The sequence below is a fragment of the Homo sapiens genome, chromosome 1 (genome assembly GCF_000001405.40).
Source record: "Homo sapiens chromosome 1, GRCh38.p14 Primary Assembly".
NCBI classification, from domain to species: domain Eukaryota; kingdom Metazoa; phylum Chordata; class Mammalia; order Primates; family Hominidae; genus Homo; species Homo sapiens.
The window spans coordinates 185,643,849-185,660,460 of record NC_000001.11 but is presented as its reverse complement, the minus strand read 5'-3'; the positions used below and the strand labels follow the sequence as shown (position 1 = coordinate 185,660,460).

At 40.4% G+C, this 16,612-nt stretch overlaps 2 long non-coding RNA genes across 3 annotated transcripts in view, besides 1 other annotated feature; both read right to left on the bottom strand.

Annotated features, from left to right (window-relative positions):
- LOC107985239 (uncharacterized) overlaps positions 1 to 16,612 on the bottom strand; it is a 202,893-nt gene that overhangs the window by 20,445 nt on the left and 165,836 nt on the right. The window lies entirely within an intron of this gene.
- On the bottom strand, positions 3,293 to 13,952 carry GS1-204I12.4 (uncharacterized). 2 transcript variants are annotated; one of them, NR_188649.1, is made up of 3 exons: positions 13,663 to 13,952; positions 5,251 to 5,458; positions 3,293 to 3,984 (listed from the first exon to the last, which is right to left on the bottom strand). It is a non-coding gene; the product is annotated as an uncharacterized GS1-204I12.4 (long non-coding RNA). The 2 variants fall into 2 exon arrangements; NR_188650.1 differs by lacking the exon at positions 13,663 to 13,952 and adding an exon at positions 12,462 to 12,692.
- Positions 13,575 to 14,488: an enhancer, noted in NCBI's record as "OCT4-NANOG-H3K27ac hESC enhancer chr1:185615105-185616018 (GRCh37/hg19 assembly coordinates)". NCBI's record gives its function as "activates a minimal SCP1, AML or CMV promoter by ChIP-STARR-seq in naive H9 embryonic stem cells {active_cell/tissue: H9 hESC(naive)}" and the evidence as "EXISTENCE:reporter gene assay evidence [ECO:0000049][PMID:30033119]".

Sequence of the window (16,612 nt, the reverse complement as noted above, 5' to 3'; positions counted from 1 at the left end):
GAATATGGCAAAAGTGATGAGCTATCACTTGCAAGCTTAGGTCACATAAGTAATGTAACTTCCATCTAGTGCTGCCTCTCTCTCTCTCTCTCTCTCTCTCTCTCTCTCTCTCTCACACACACACACACACACACACACACACACACACACACACTGATGTCTCTGACCAATAGCCAGTAAGGACCTGAGGCCTGCCAACAGCCACATAAGATGGAAATACAATTTACTGAAAGCTTGGAAGTGGACCTTCCCTAGTTGAGCCTTGAGATGGCTGCAGCATCAGCCCACATCTTCGGTGCAGCTTTGTGGGAGACCTTGAAGCAGAGGACCCAGCTAAGCAGGGCCTGCATTTCTGACCCACAGAAGCTGTGAGTTTTAAGAATGTGTGTTGTTTAAGCTGCTAAATTGGAAACTGGGGAGTGGGTGGGTGTTACATAGCAGAAAATAACTTAATACAAATAAAAATAATAACACTTCTATTCCAAGATTGTTGTGAGGGTTGGAGATGATGTATGTATACCTTATGTCTGTCACAGAGCCTCTCCTTAAGAAATGGTAGCTCTCACTATTACCAAGCCTCCTCTATGTGGGGGGGGCTACTCTCTGCATCACTTACATATCTATATTTTTTAATACAGCATAGGTTAGAGAAAAAATGGTCACCTTCAACCTCAAATTAAAAGAAATTTGAAAAGAAGGGAATTGTTTTGTGTGGAAAGGCCAACTGGCAGATATTTGAAAAGTGTAGACTCCATTGAGGCAATAAAGGAAGAAAACAGGGTTGTATGGAAAATGGGAATGTCCAATTGGACTAGTATTTAATGCCTTAAGAATAAGATCCTTGGGGCCAGCCAAGGTGGCTCACACCTGTAATCCCAGCACTTTGGAAGGCCAAGGCGGGCGGATCACGAGGTCAGGAGTTCGAGACCAGACTGTCAACATGGTGAAACCCTGTCTCTACTAAAAATACAAAAATTAGCTGGGCACGGTGGTGGGTGCCTTTAATCCTAGCTACTCGGGAGGCTGAGGCAGGAGAATTGCTTGAACCCTGGAGGCGGGGGTTGCAAGGAGCCAAGATCACGCCACTGCATTCCAGCCTGGGTGACAGCAAGACTCCGTCTTAAAAATAAATAAATAAATAAGACCCTCAAACATCCTTCACTGACTTAACAACCTTTCAGGGCATGGTCATTTTCAAACCGTTAATACAGTAGTTGAAAATATTAATGATAAAAGAGTTAATTATAATTTACTTGAGGTAGTAAAAAATTAAATTTACAAAAGGAAAACTGAAGGAGAGATAGTAAAAATGTGAAAAGGGCTACTCAGAAAGGCAGTATAACATCAGGAAAACATCCCTGAATTTGGAATGAGAAGTTCTGGGATTTGCTTTGCTTTCATTCTTTCAAAAAAGATGTATTGAGTACCTACTGTATGCCAAGCCCTTTTCTAACTCTCTAGTTTCTGGGCCTATCATTGGAAGTCTGTTTTGTTGTGGACAAAACAGACTTAATTGTTGCCTTCATGGAGCTAGTGGAACATGAAACAAAAGCATATTTAATTACAATTATAGTAAGTACCACAAGGAAAATTACAGGGTGTAATTAGAAAATGACAGGAGGTACTTACACTGAATTGGAGGGTTTAAGGAAAGCCTGTCTGAGGAAGTGACATTTAAACTGAAGGATGGACATGAGTTAGCCAGGCAACTGGGTGACGAAGAGCAGCGGGGAGGAATATTCAATCAGAGAAAACAGCATGGCAAAGGCTTTAAAGCCGAAAGAAGCTTGGCACGTTTGAGGAACAGAGAGGTTCATGGGTTAGAACATGGTAGACAGAATGAGGGTGGAGAGTTGAAGAAGTAAACCACACAGACTTTTGAGCATATCAGGCTGTGAGTTATTGTGGCATGGAAGGATTTAAAGTATAACGATGAGATTTATTTTTAGTAAAAGAGCACTCTGGTTGCAGTACAGTAACAATTAAAGGTAAAAAATAAGGAAAACTGCAGAAGAACCTGGTGTCTGGAACTACAGTGGACACAGTGGAGATGGAAAGAAGGAGATGGAGTAGAGATATTATTGTAAAGATAGAATCCAAATGACTTGGTGATAGATTGGATATGGGAAGTAAGAGAGAAGGAAAGGGTAGTCAGGGAATGCTCCCAGGTTTGTGGCATAAGAAACTGAGTAGGAAGTGCTACTTAATAGATGACTAAAAGTTGGAGCAGAAAGAAATTGAGGAGGAGGACAGAGAAAGAGAAAATTTTCCATTTTGTACATTAAATTTGTGATGTCTGCAGGACATTCAGGTAAACACTAGAAAGCTGCTGAGTATGTGTACCTAGAAAGAAAAGTCTGGCTCCTTTTCAGTTGGAAACTTTGGACAAATCACTTATAACTCTAAGCCTCCATTTCATTATCTGCAAAATGAAACCCATCATCTGTCTGCCTCAATAGGATAGAGGGAAAGACAGATGAGGCAGCATCTATGAATGGCCTCTCTAAACTATAATTCAGTATAGACATGCAAGAGCACTTAGTCACAGATAACTTTTCACGTTGATAAAGGAAATGTGAAATAAGGGCATACATTAAGTTTCAGCATTTCCATATGCCCCAATTGGCAAATATACATTCATTTATGGAAGGAAGGGAGGAAGGAAGGAAGGAAGGAAGGAAGGAAGGAAGGAAGGAAGGAGAAAGAGAGAGAGAAAGAGAGAGAGGGATGGAGAGAGAAAAAAGAAAAGAAAAGCAAGGCAGGAAGGAAGGGATGGAGGGAGTGAGGGAGGGAGGAAGGGGAGGGTAGGGGAGGAGAGGAGAGGGGTGGGGAGGGGAGAAGGGGGAAGAGGGGAAAGGGAGAAGGGAAAAGGGGAGAGGGAGAAGAAAGAAAGGCGGTAGGCAGGAGAAATAAGCAAAAAAAAAGTATTAGCAATTTTTATGCTCACATATTTGTTAAAGGTTGACTTTTAAGAAAAAAAGGAAAATTGCTGGGCATGGTGGCACGTGCCTGTAATCTCAGTACTTTAAGAGACCAAGGAGGGAGAATCACTTAAGCCCAAGAGTTCAAGACCAGCCTGGACAACATAGTGAGACCTCTTCTCTACAAAAAATCAAAAAATGAGGGGGGAGGATCACTTGAGCCCACGAGGTCGAGGCTGCAATGAGCCGTGAGTGCACACCACTACCCCCCAGCCTGACCGAGAGTGAGACCCTGCCTCAAAAAAAAAAAACAAACACAAACAAACAAACAAACAAAAACAAAGTAAAATCATGACTCATATGCAAACATAAACGTGTCAAAGATTTATTTTAGCCCATTAATGAGGAACTAGGAAGGCAAAAACAGTAACAGCAATACCCAGTTCAATGGAGAATCCAAAGAACAGACAAATATATGTATATAGGTGTCCAGAAAAAGGTTAACACAGCAGTCTTGGGTTACTCAAACCCTGCACATTCAAAAAAAAAAGGACTGGTCCTTGGCTGACATCCAGGAGGTGACCTCTGAGCTCTCTTGAAATCTCCTGCCTGCCAGGAGTGTTTTTGTCGTCTAAGTTGTTGAACCGCACTGCATCAGTTGTTGAACCACACTGACCTCTGGGGGCTGGAGACTGAGTAGTTAATGTTGTCCCATAGCCGCTGCATGCCTTTGTCACTAACCCCAATAAAAATCCTTGGACACCAAGGCTCAGATGAGATTCATAGGATGCAAAAATTTACATGTGTGTTACATTGTTGCTAAGATAATTAAGTGCTGTTCATGCAACACCTTTGGGAGAAGCCAACTGGAAGCTTGTGTCCTGTTTCTCCTAGACTCTGCCCTACCCACCTTTTCCTTTTGCTGACTCTAATCTGTAGTCTTTCACTCTAATAAACCACAAACATGAGTATGACAGCTTTTTCTGAGTCCTGTGAGTCCTTTTAGTGCATGAAGCCTGAGGGTGGTCTTGCAGACTCCTGATCCGTGAGGCCATCAGAAATGCTGAAAATGAATTTACATCTATTAAAGATGCAAATGAGATGCCTTTTACAGGATGGATGAAGTTCATTTTCATTTCCATTGGACAAAATAATTTGCATTACTATCAGTTTTTTTTTTCAATTTACAGAGTTGTAAAATGGATCCAAAACAATGAAAGATATAGACCTTTATAGACTCAAATAACTCTGGAAAGATATAGACCTTTATAGACACAAATAACCCTTTTTGCTCATTTTAAAGACTTTCATAATTTTTTCTGACACATTTATTTAACCAATATTTCTTAAGGAAGTCCCTGGTCCAGGCAATGAGGACTCTCTCGAGGCTTAAATTAAGTAGAGTAGTTATTTTTTAAAGGTGATTCTCATTGTAATGTATTTGATAAAATCAATGCCATTTGATTTTCCAGTTTATAAACCATACATTTCCTAATGTAAAATAAAAATCTATTCACTGTATTTTTCTTGAAAAGGAGTCAGTTTTAGGTTATTTGAAAAAGAAACGTGTTTCTAAAAGAGTAGCATATATATATATATACACGCACACATATATATACACATATATACACACATATATACACATATATACACACATATATACACATATATACACACATATATACACATATATACACACATATATATACACATATATACACATATATATACACATATATATACACACATATATACACATATATATACATATATACACACATATATATACACATCTATATATACACACACATATATATATACACACACGCACATATATACATATTCAAAACTGAAGAGACTTAGAGACTAAATAGACTTAAGGCTTTACCTTTATTATCAAACAATTATTGAGGTTTAGGAAACTTCTTTAATGGTATAACTTAGAGAAAGTCCTGAATAGAACAAATCATGCTTAATGGAGATGCCACAGTAGGGCATACTAACAAGACTACCAGAGTTTAAGAGACAAGGGAGGGAAGACAGAATCAAAATGTGAAAGCGACTGCAGAAATGAGAGCAAGCCTGCAAATTGCAGGATCATGAACTGTGGGGGCAACACTTGAAGCCTGCTGTTCAATGCTCCCCATGTCAATCCACTTTAAAAACTAACAAAATTATGGCACTTATCTGTCTACCCCAAAGGTTGACCATTACCTACAGGATAAATTTCTTCACTTGATATACAAAGTTTGTCCCAAACCTCATTTTGTGTCATTACTTAATAAATGTCTTCTACTCCAGCTACCAATGGTTCCCAACTTGGAATTACCTGTGGAACTTTTAAAAATTTACTGCCCAGGCCTTCCTTTGGATTGATCAAATCAAGACCTCTAGGAGGTGCAGCCCAGGCATCAGTGTCCTTTTGCAGCTCTCCAGATAATTCCAGTGGGCAGCAAAAGTTGAACACTTCTGAACTAACAGTTTTGAAATCCACATTTTGGAGTGCCAAGAAAATGTAGCTCTACTGATTCTTCTCTCTGAAAAAGAAATGGTAGAGTACAACTAACTTAGGTTAAATTGTTCCTTTTGTAATATTATTTCCAAATTATTTAAAAGGCTTTGCACATAGGATTAAAAGTTAAGAACATAGTTTAACCTCTCATTCAACAACAAATTCCTTTTCAATCAAGTCACATTCTTTCTATCTCCATACCCACATGGACTCGGTAGAGTAGAAATGACAACATTGCTATGCGTCACTCTTGTTTACTTCGGTTCCTATCAGCAAGTACTATACAGAGTTATCAGGTGTCTGTTAAATTTAGGCTTAGGAAAATGACTGCTATTTCCCTGACAAAGACTGGCTAGGAAAATAACAAGGGAAACTGATATTAAGACATGGCATTTAAAATAGTGTTCATGGACATTTTCTTCCTCACATTCTTTATCATTTTTTTAAATAGTACATAGGTGCCCCTAAACCTTCTTTAAATTTTTTTGAGGAAAAAAAAAGGAAAGAGGAGAGAAAGGAAAGAAGGAAAGAAGGAAAGGGAAGGGAAGGGAAGAGAAAAGGATAGGGGTAAGAAGGGAGGAAGGAAAGAAGGGAGGGAAGGAGGGAGGGAGGAGAGAAAGAAAGGAAAGAAAGGAAGGAAAGAAGAAAAGGAGTGAGGGCAAAAAAGAAGGAAGGAAGGAAAAATGGAAGGAATGCGTTGCAATAATTCAAGTGTTAATCTTGGATTTTACTGTGTAAATTATTGCAAAGAAATAGGCCTTGGGCTGGGCACAGTGGCTCATGCCTGTAATCCCAGCAATTTGGGAGGCTGAGGCAGCCTGATCACTTGAGGTCAGGAGTTTAAGACCAGCCTGGCCAACATGGTAAAACCCTGTCTCTACAAAAAATACAAAAAATTAACTGAGTGTGGTGGTGCACACCTGTAACCCCAGCTACCCAGGGGGCTGAGGCAGGAGAAGCACGTGAACCCAGGAGGTGGAGGTTACAGTGAGCTGAGATCATGCCACTGCACTCCAGCCTGGGTAACAGAATAAGACTCTGTTCTGTCTTGAAAGAGGAAGGGAAGGGATGGGAAGGGAAGGGACGGGAAGTGACAGGAAGGGAAGGGAAGGGAAAGGACAGGAAAGGAAGGGAAGGGAAGGGAAGGGAATGGAAGGGAAAGGAAGGGAAGGGAAGGCAAAAAAAAAGAAGAAATAAGTCTTGGGCAGTCTCACAGGAAAGGCTCTCTAGTTTTTTGGCTATCTCCACCTTGATATCTGTCCCTTTTGCTTTTTTTTCCTCTTAAATAACCTTCCTACCTGAGGTCTTCCATAAAATGTTTCATAGGGCAGATAAATTGCAAAAATCATATTATCTATTAGCATGAAGAAATACAGGGTACATATTATGTATAAGTAAGTAAAACAATTGACTAATTTAATTTATTCAAGGCTGAGCTCTTGCAATCTACTTCTACCCTAAGCCAATTTAAGTACCTTCTTTTAGTTCTACTACTGCTAAAGTACTAAGTGTTTATCTAGTCTCTCCAGAATAAACATTGAATTTCAGGCCCAATTTGTACCCTAGTCATCTCAACATGTTCTTCCAGAGGTATTCCTCTCAGTTAGTTCTTTTCCTTTGGGGGTTTGCAGCTCACAGACATTTTTCCTAAACTACTTCAATGGTAGATTTTTAAAAAATATATGTTCTTTTCAGCCTTCAGTAATAGGGTTGAGTCAAATGGCTTCTGCCTTTTCCCATAACACTCCCATCTTTAAACAAAATATCCTACTTGAAGATTTCTGCTTTCACAAACTTTCCATTTGTTCTTTCTCAATCAACTCCTAGATTTTGTCCTGAGGGCCTCTTCATGATTTCAAGTTGTATGTGACAGTAGCTTTATCAAAGCCCACATTTATTAGGTCGGTGCAAAAGTAATTGTGCCTTGTTGCCATTGAAATAGCAAACACCGCAATTACTTTTGCACCAACCTACTACATCAGAAGAGGATCCTGCCTTCTTTGACAATTCTCCCACACTGTGGAGATAGGAATTTTTATTACAGTCTTAAGACGAGTAGAATTGTCTGAATAATTTGAAGGACATAAAATAAAAAATCTAGTGTTGATTTTTAAATTTTTTTAAATGATGGGGAAGAGGATAGAAGAAAGCTTTAATAACATTGGATAAAAGAAAACAGAGGTAAAAAAAGTATTAAAATGAGGGTGATGTCCTTTTGAGATTAGAAAACCTTGGAACAAGAGGAAGAAATCAACTATAGTTCCAATAAGCTTTTTCTTTAAAAAAGCATTATACGGTAGGCAATGTATGAGATTCAAATGGAATAAAACAGACACATAGAATTATTTGTGATTTTTTTTTTTAAAAAAAGCTATTTTAACAAGTAGCTTAAGAGTACTTCAACTTCACCAATGGAGGCAAGTGAGAAGAAAGGCAACCATAAAAGTCAAGCTCAATTCTGCCATCTACTGCCTGGCAGCAAAACCATGCGTGGGGAGACCTGAGTCTATTCCAGTACCCAAGGTCATTGCTAGGGCACTGACACCCATTTAGAGAAAGATGGGATGAAAGCCACTGAGATTATATCCCAGAGATGCAGCAAGGTTTCCATCAACAAATACAGACACTGGGTTTGATTTAACCCTGTTAATAATTAGACCAACTCAGGGTTTCTAATATGGTGTATGTATAACTAATTATAGTCCACCCCTTTTTAAAACTTCAACACTATTGAAGTAAAAGCTCAATTTATATAGCCCTTTTGAATACTCAACAACATTATGGAAACACAGCTGCCCCTATTTTAGTTTTCTCAGTATCTCTTGGACCTGAAAGTGACAAACTATGTCCTCTTTATTCATTCTTCAAGGGAAGATGGATCTTTAGATGTCAGAGTAGGAGGTGAGGAACAGTGTTCCAGCGTTTCTGTGCTCTATTCTTCTTAAACAGTTTTGTCAATAAAGGACAAAATAATAGAGAACATAATTTGAAAGACTGTGTGGTTTTGCCTCCCTAAAAAAAGAAATGAATTTCATATTAAACTATTCCTCAAGTCATATTTTGACAACAAAACTCAGAGCATATTTTATTTGTAGTCAACAATAATAGCTCGTGTTCATATATAAGAAAAAAAAAGGGATCACATTTTCTATCTGTAGATTCCTAGTTCTGATAGAAGGAACATGAGAAACTTCAGCCTAGTAATTCTGCAATGATGATGTGTTGATAATTTCTTGTCAGTTGCCTAAACTTTAAAGTAAAAAACAAGCATTTTGAAAAGATTGATTCAACTTAGGAAGCCGTGGTGGGAAAATCACTTGAGCTCAAGTGTTCAAGACCAGCCTGGGCAACATAGGTAAGACCTATCTATAAAAAAAGAAAAAAAAAATGAAAATAAAAGATTGATTGGAAAAGTAGTGATTATAAGCCCAGGCTTGTAGTCAGCAAAGTATGACTTCTGATTTCTGGCTCTATTGCTTATGAATTGTTCAACCTTGTCAAGCCTTAGTTTCCTTCTCTGTAAAAACCTCCCCTATAGGATTACTATAAGAATTATAAGATCACATATGTAAAGAATTTAGAATAGGGCCAGCACAAAACAAACCTTCAATAAATAATAATCATTATTGGTATTTTTATAATCAGTTAGACTTCTACTTTTGATAGTTATAACCATAACCCCATACTTTTCACAATACTTTATGACATCCAAAAAATGCTTATATTAGCTCATTTAATTTTGTTTAATCCTCACAACCACCTCTGAAACAAATAGATATGATTATATTCCTCATTTTATAGTAGAAGAATTGAGAATCAAAGAAGTGACTTGCCAAAGAGTTCACAGCTGGTGAGGAAGCTTTAAACAGACCCTGGCACTCACATCTGAGTCTTGCTATGCTGCTACAGCTGCCCTGAAGAGAAAAGATCTGACTATTGAAATGTCTAATCTTGCTCAAACTGGTCTTGGTGAGAAACATTCTAAGCCTGATTACTTTTATCCTGCCCTTCCTATGTCCTGAGGCAGAAGGTTTCAGTTACTAAGAACTTTTTCAGTCTCTAAGAAATAATTGGCTCATAATAACCCATTATCCAAGTGTGTAAATCAGTTTATGAATCCACACCTACAACAAGGTTGGTTTACAAGCATTGAACAAACACTTGGATGCCTCACTCGTAAAATTCCAAATGGCACCTGGCTGTGATTATGCTACTTTCTCTGAAGACTCCTATCTACAGAAGGAAGTCCAAAGTTCAAACCTCATGGCCCTTCACTATGTCCACCTCTTTCTCTAGCCACTCTCCCCTGACCACTCCACAGAAGTACCGTGTTCTCGCAGCATCATGCCTTCCTCCTTCCAAACTCCACCTCCCTAACATGTGATTCAAAGCTCTGCTCAGACATCTGTCCTCTCTAAGGCTCACATTTACTAATCTCCATTTCGAGATGAATTGCTTTCTCATCCACGCTCCCATGGCAGCTAAAGGAAATAAAAATATTTCAGCCCCAAATATATTTCTTTGACATATTTTGGGATGGCTGTCAGGGGGTCAGTAAACAGAACTGGTCCTGCAAAGCTGTCTTTTGTGGGGGAAATTTGCATCATTAGCAATCTGCATTAACGCAACCAGGCCTTCCCTAATCCAGATCTAGGAAAGATTAACCAAGAGTCTGACACATTTAAATATCCGAAAGAAACATTGTCCATTTATCCTCTCTGAGGGCTGCTACCTGTGAGGTTTTATCTCCATACCAAGACCACTTTTAATAGCCAAGCCTCCCCTTCTCTCCCTCCCATAACCTGTCTCTTCACTAAAATCTGATTTACCACCATAACCTGGTTTTGGCCATGCTCCAAGCTCCTGTTCTTTCTGTAATCTCAAGGTGATATACAAGCTCCTGTACCCCACTGGGGAGTTGAATCTTCATTCTGAAGGCTCCTGTGTCATGGGAAACTATGATCAAATAAACTATGATCAAGTAAGTTTGGTCAGTTTCTTTTAGTATCCTTTTTCTCCTATTAATCTGCCTTTTGTGAACTGAATTTTTCACGGAACCTTCTGAGAGTGAAGGGGAAGCTTTCCCTTCACCCCTACACAATTTGCCACATTCTTCTTTACTACACTTATATTTCATCATCAATGTTTGTTTGTGCATCTGGATTCTCCACTGGACTGAGGACTCCTTGAGGGCAAAAATCCTAACCACTTAACTTTAGAGCTCCAGCAGCTGGAATGCAAGCATTTGATCTGTGAACTATGCTGGGCTTACAAGCTGCAGGTGGCATGCTAAAATTAATTAATATTCCTCCTCGGACATCTAAGTAAAACAGATCTTTGCAAATCTCCGTGTGTCTACTCAGAGAGTCCCACGAAACTGCCAAGCGCCAATCCAAAGGTAGATGCATGATCAAGAGAGAGAGATGATGCCACACAAGGATAGGGAACTGAAGTGTGAAAGAACTGATTCACTTATAAATTACATAAACCAAAAATAAAATTCTAAGACCCCTCAACCATCTGGATGGACTTCCCCCTCAGTTAGTGAGAGGTGACAACGTGCTAGCAGCCCTCACTTGCTCTCAGCACCTCCTCGGCCTCAGCGTCCGCTCTGGCCATGCTGAGGAGCCCTTCAGCCTACCGCTGCACTGTGGGAGCCCCTCTCTGGGCTGGCCAAGGCCGGAGCTGGCTCCCACTGCTTGCTGGGAGGTGTGGAGGGAGAGGCATGGAAGGGAACCGGAGCTGCACACAGCACTCGCGGGCCAGCGCAAGTTCGGGGTGGGCGCGGGCCCGGCAGGCCCCGCACTCGGAGTGGCTGGCCGGCGCCACCGGCCCTGGGCAGTGAGGGGATTAGCTCCCGGGCCAGCAGCTGCGGAGGGGGCACTGGGTCCCCCAGCACTGCCAGCCCGCCTGCCCCACACTTGAATTCTCGCCGGGCCTCAGCCACCTCCCCGCGGGGCAGGGCTTGGGACCTGCAGCCCGCCATGCCCGAGCCCCCCCACAGTGAGCTCCCTGGCGACCTGAGCCTCCCCGACGGGCACTGCCCCCTGCTGCGTAGCACCCAGGCCCATCGACCACCCAAGAGCTGAGGAGTGCAGGCATGTGGCGCGGGACTGGCGGGCAGCTCCACCCGCAGTCCTGGTATGGGATCCACTAGGCGAAGCCAGCTGGGCTCCTGAGTTGGGTGGGGACTTAGAGAACTTTTATGTCTAGCTGGAGGATTGTATATGCACCAATCAGCACTCTGTATCTAGCTAATCTGGTGGGGACTTGGAGAACTTTTATGTCTAGCTAAAGTATGTAAATACACCAATCAGCACTCTGTATCTAGCTCAAGGTTTGTAAATGCACCAATCAGCACTCTGTGTCTAGCCAGATTGTAAATGTACCAATCAGCACCCTGTCAAAACAGACCAATCAGCTCTCTGTAAAACGGACCAATCAGCTCTCTGTAAAATGGGCCAATCAGCAGAATGTGGATGGGGCCAGATAAGGGAATAAAAGCAGGCTGCCAGAGCCAGCAGGGGCAACCTGCTGGGGTCTCCTTCCACACTGTGGAAGCTTTGTTCTTTTGCTCTTTACAATAAATCTTGCTGCTGCTGACTCCTTGGGTCCGCACTGCCTTTATGAGCTGTAACACTCACGGTGAAGGTCTGCAGCTTCACTCCTGAAGCCAGTAAGACCATGAACCCACCAGGAGGGATGAACAACTCTGGACACACCACCTTTAAGAGCTGTAACACTCACTGCAAAGGTCTGCAGCTTCACTCCTGAGGCCAGTGAGACCATGAACCCACTGGGAGGAATGAACAACTCCAGATGGGAGGAATGAACAACTCCGGACAGGAGGAACGAACAACTCCAGACGTGCCGTCTTAAGAGCTGTAACACTCACCGCAAAGGTCTGCAGCTTCACTCCTGAAGCCAGCGAGACCATGAACCTACCAGAAGGAAGAAACTCCGAGCACGTCCAAACATGAGATGGAACAAACTCCAGACACACCATCTTTAAGAACTGTAACACTCACCGCAAGGGTCTGCGGCTTCATTCTTGAAGTCAGTGAGACCAAGAACCCACCAATTCCGGACACATTAGGACTTTTAAAACTTAACCTGAGAGACTGTTTCAGGCCATGACAGGAAGTGGGGGTTGAACAGGCTTCATTATACCTCTCTGGCATTAACATCAACACAGATTTTAAGTCTGATAAGAAGCATTTTACAATCTATTTTCTCTGATGCTTGCTAGCTAAAAGCTTCATCTGTATAGTAAAACTTTGGTCTCTACGACATGTTATCACAACCCAGACATTCCTTTCTGTTGATCCCAGGTCTTTAAACAAACTCAACCAATTGTCAACCAGAAAATGTTTAAATTTCCCTACAGCCTGGAAGCCCCTATTTTGAATGGCCCTGCCTTTGTAGACCAAACCAATGTATTTCTTAAATGTATTTGATTGATGTCTCATGCCTCCCTAAAATGTATAAAACCAAGCTGCACCCCAGCCACCTTGGGCCCATGTTCTCAGGACCTCCCGGGCCATGGTCACTCACATTTGGCTCAGAATAAATCTCTTCAAATATTTTACAGAGTTTAATTCTTTCCATTGACAATTGCATTACAAAAAAGCAAAATCTTTCCATTCAAGTTTTCAGCAAGTAATAATAAAAATTTAAATAAATCAGGGTGTACAGTATATTTAATATTTTGGTTTTTTTATCATTGTACAGCTTTGAGTGAACTAAAGGAATTAACAAATTTATCTTGTTTGTAAGTCTCAAACATTTGTTGGTGTCTCTGTTAAATACATTTTTGGACAATCATTTTAAATATTACAGTCGTGTGGGTAGTGTAGTTCCAGAATAATTTAGAAAACATGGTATCTAGATTTACAGTATGGACCTCTCAGGTAAGATAATAAAGAAGGAAAATCTTTTTAGATGCCCCTGTTTTTAGGAGCTTAGAATTCTCTCTTTTACTTTCTTCCGACCATGATGAATGGGTAGCTTTTTTTTTATTTTTGTTTAAACCTCTTAATTTTTTGTAAACTTTAAATCTGTTATTCAGCACCTCAAAATTTAAAGTATATATGCTCCTATCTTTGAAACTGCAAGTCTTTTTCTCCATTTTTTTTTTGAATTACTGTTAACCTAGGCTCTCACCAATCTATTTGGCATTTACCCACATATTTTGCTTAAGATTTAATTTTAAAAGTTCTGTAAACTTACTGTATCTCCAAAATAACAGCACATCCATAGCTGTCTATTGAGTCAGTTGTATTTCTAAAAGAAACATGTTATTTCATGGCAGCTTCCTTGGTAAATTTCTGGTAGTCACTACGAAATGAAAGGAAGTGGAAAAGGTCGGGGACGGTTAGAAAATAGTTGGGGAGAAGAATCACAGGTTATCACATACTTGAAAGGAATAATCCTGAAGACTCAAAACTTCACAACTCTTTTTGTCCCTGTGCTCCCTAGTGAAAACAGTCTGTGTTAGTCAGAAGCAAGCTCACAAAGCTCATGAATAACTTGCATTCTTATGCTGGAGAACAGCCAATTACCCTGGGACCAAATTCCTGTTTGCTTTGTAGTGAATGTGGGAGACAAGCTGCCTGCCAGTAGCTGTTAAGGCAGTAAAAACACAGCCAGAGGCTATCACAAGGAGGAAATCACAGAGCAAGTTAATTTGTGAACTTCAAGGACAGAGATTAAATATTGTGCAATGAAGCTAATATGGTGGGCTTGTCTGAAAGTAGAATAATCTGGTCTGAAAAGCACCCTTATGAGTTAGCATGATATTTGCATAATGAGTGACACATCATCGTTTCCAGACTTGCTTTTTTTAATGATTGATATCCTTTAAAATTTTCTTCCAAAAAGATTATTGATTCTCTGTTTGGGAAATGCAAGTTTGTTTTACTCTTGATTCTCTCATTCTGATATATCTGGTACAGAGAGTATTAAAGCCAAAAGGACAGTATTTGGGGTAAAATTTGGAAAATCCCAGACCCAATTTGGAAACCAAGATAGCTCATTATACCCTGTTGTTTTATAGAGCCATGTTCAGTGTTTTGAGTACTTGAGGCTGCTCTGAGATCTCTTATTTGCATTCAGAACTTGAGTAGTTTTTGACCAAGGGGAAAAAATGAGAACTGCCAAATCTATTAGCTTGCCCATAACCCCAAATAGTATACTATAGTGTCATTCTCCACAGAGAAAACAGCTTACCGTTTAAATCCTAGAAATTACACACTGACTACTAGGTCACTGTAACCTCACTATGATACCCTTAGGTCACATGTTGTGAGTTTTACAGTTGTTTGGACATAGAGTTTATAAAAAATTAAAATAAAATAAACCTTTGGATAGAGTATAACGTTGGGGCTCAGAAAGCAATAACCCAAACACTGGTGCTATGACAGGCTAAGAGGCCTTAGACGCAGCCCGCAAATCAAGGTCCCTCTAACTTTGCCTTGTCCCTCAGCCCTTGCCTCAAGCACAGGGAGGGACTCTCTCTGGAATTTCCTTATCTGACCAAGAAATCTTCTTTCTAAGAGAAATACAATTGTTTTCCTCCCTTCTCTGAAATCTCATTATCTGTCTCAGAAAAGAAGACTAAGGAATGCAACTACAGGGAGATGGACTTTTTCACAACATAATTCCAGCCTCTAGGGCTCATTCAAATTCCAAAGAGAATCATTTACAAGTTCACTGTTCTCCCTAATAATCATCTGTGGTCCCTCAAAGGAATTGCCTACATTCCCCATCTCTCCCCTCCCCTATGGAAGAGAGTATATAAGCTTCTGTACCACATTGGGTTATTAGGCAATCTTCCTCCTTAAGTTCCCCAGTGCTAACCATGTTAAAACAAACTTTCGTATGCCTTTTCTCCTACTTATCTGTCTTTTGTCAGTTGATTATTAGTGATCCCTTGGAGGGTGAAGGGGAAGTTTTCCCTTGGTTCCTACAATAAGATGGACCAATATTACACTGATTTTTGATGCCATAGCTAATCATATTATATTGAGGTTTGTAAAACTAATGAAGCCTACCAAGATTAGGATTATGGGAGGGCCCTGAATTCTGCTAAAATGTAGATGCTGTTTCTACAATCCCTTACTGCTCAGGAGTTATGTGGCCAGAGGTCATAAGATTCATTGCTTCCCCAGCTGCACCTATAGGTAACATCACTATTGTAGAACTAAGATTGCTCTTTTGAGATGTTTTTCAGACTTACCCAACCTGGACTAGTCACTGATGACTCATCTGTCCTGTGGGCCCCCACCCACCCCACAACCACCCATCCAGAGACAGACTCAATGCACAAAGACTATTTTCCACACCTCTATAATTGCATCCCCAGCCAATCAGCAGTACCCATTCCCTAGTTCTCTTCCCACCAAACTATGCTTGCAAAACCCTAACCTCTGAACGTTCAGGAAGACTGATTTGAGTGATAACTCCAGTTCTTCTGCATAGCTGGCCTTGTGCTAATTAATTAATTATATACCATAGTACCATGGTCTCAGTAAACTGGTTTTGTTTGTGCAGTGGGCAAGAAGAACAGTCAGGCAACTACAGTTGTAATGCCATGGAAAATTGAAATACATCTTGCACATGTCCCATGATGGAAGAACTTAGAGATGTTTTTCAATGTTTATCAGAGAACATGAAATAGCCTGCCAGGCCCAGAATCCAGAAGTTTTATCCACTAGCACTTTAAATCTAGTCAAATGGAACATAGTCACTGGTGCTGAGAGACCTAGGTGCTCAGGGAAAATGAGCACAGCAATATACTAATAGAAGACAAATATTCAACCAACTATAAAGCTTAAGGCTTTAGAAAGACACAATCTTTTTATGGTTTCATTGTTGGCATCATTTTGCATTCAGATTTATCAATTAAAATATGTGTCATTTTTATGCTTTAGTTCAAATGTTGTTTCCCTTCTTTTTTTTTATTTTATTATTACTATACTTTAAGTTTTAGGGTACATGTGCACAACATGCAGGTTTGTTACATATGTATACATGTGCCATGTTGGTGTGCTGCACCCATTAACTCGTCATTTAGCATTAGGTATATCTCCTAATGCTATCCCTCCCCCCCTCCCCCCACCCCACAACAGTCCCCGGTGTATGATGTTCCCCTTCCTGTGTCCATGTGTTCTCATTGTTG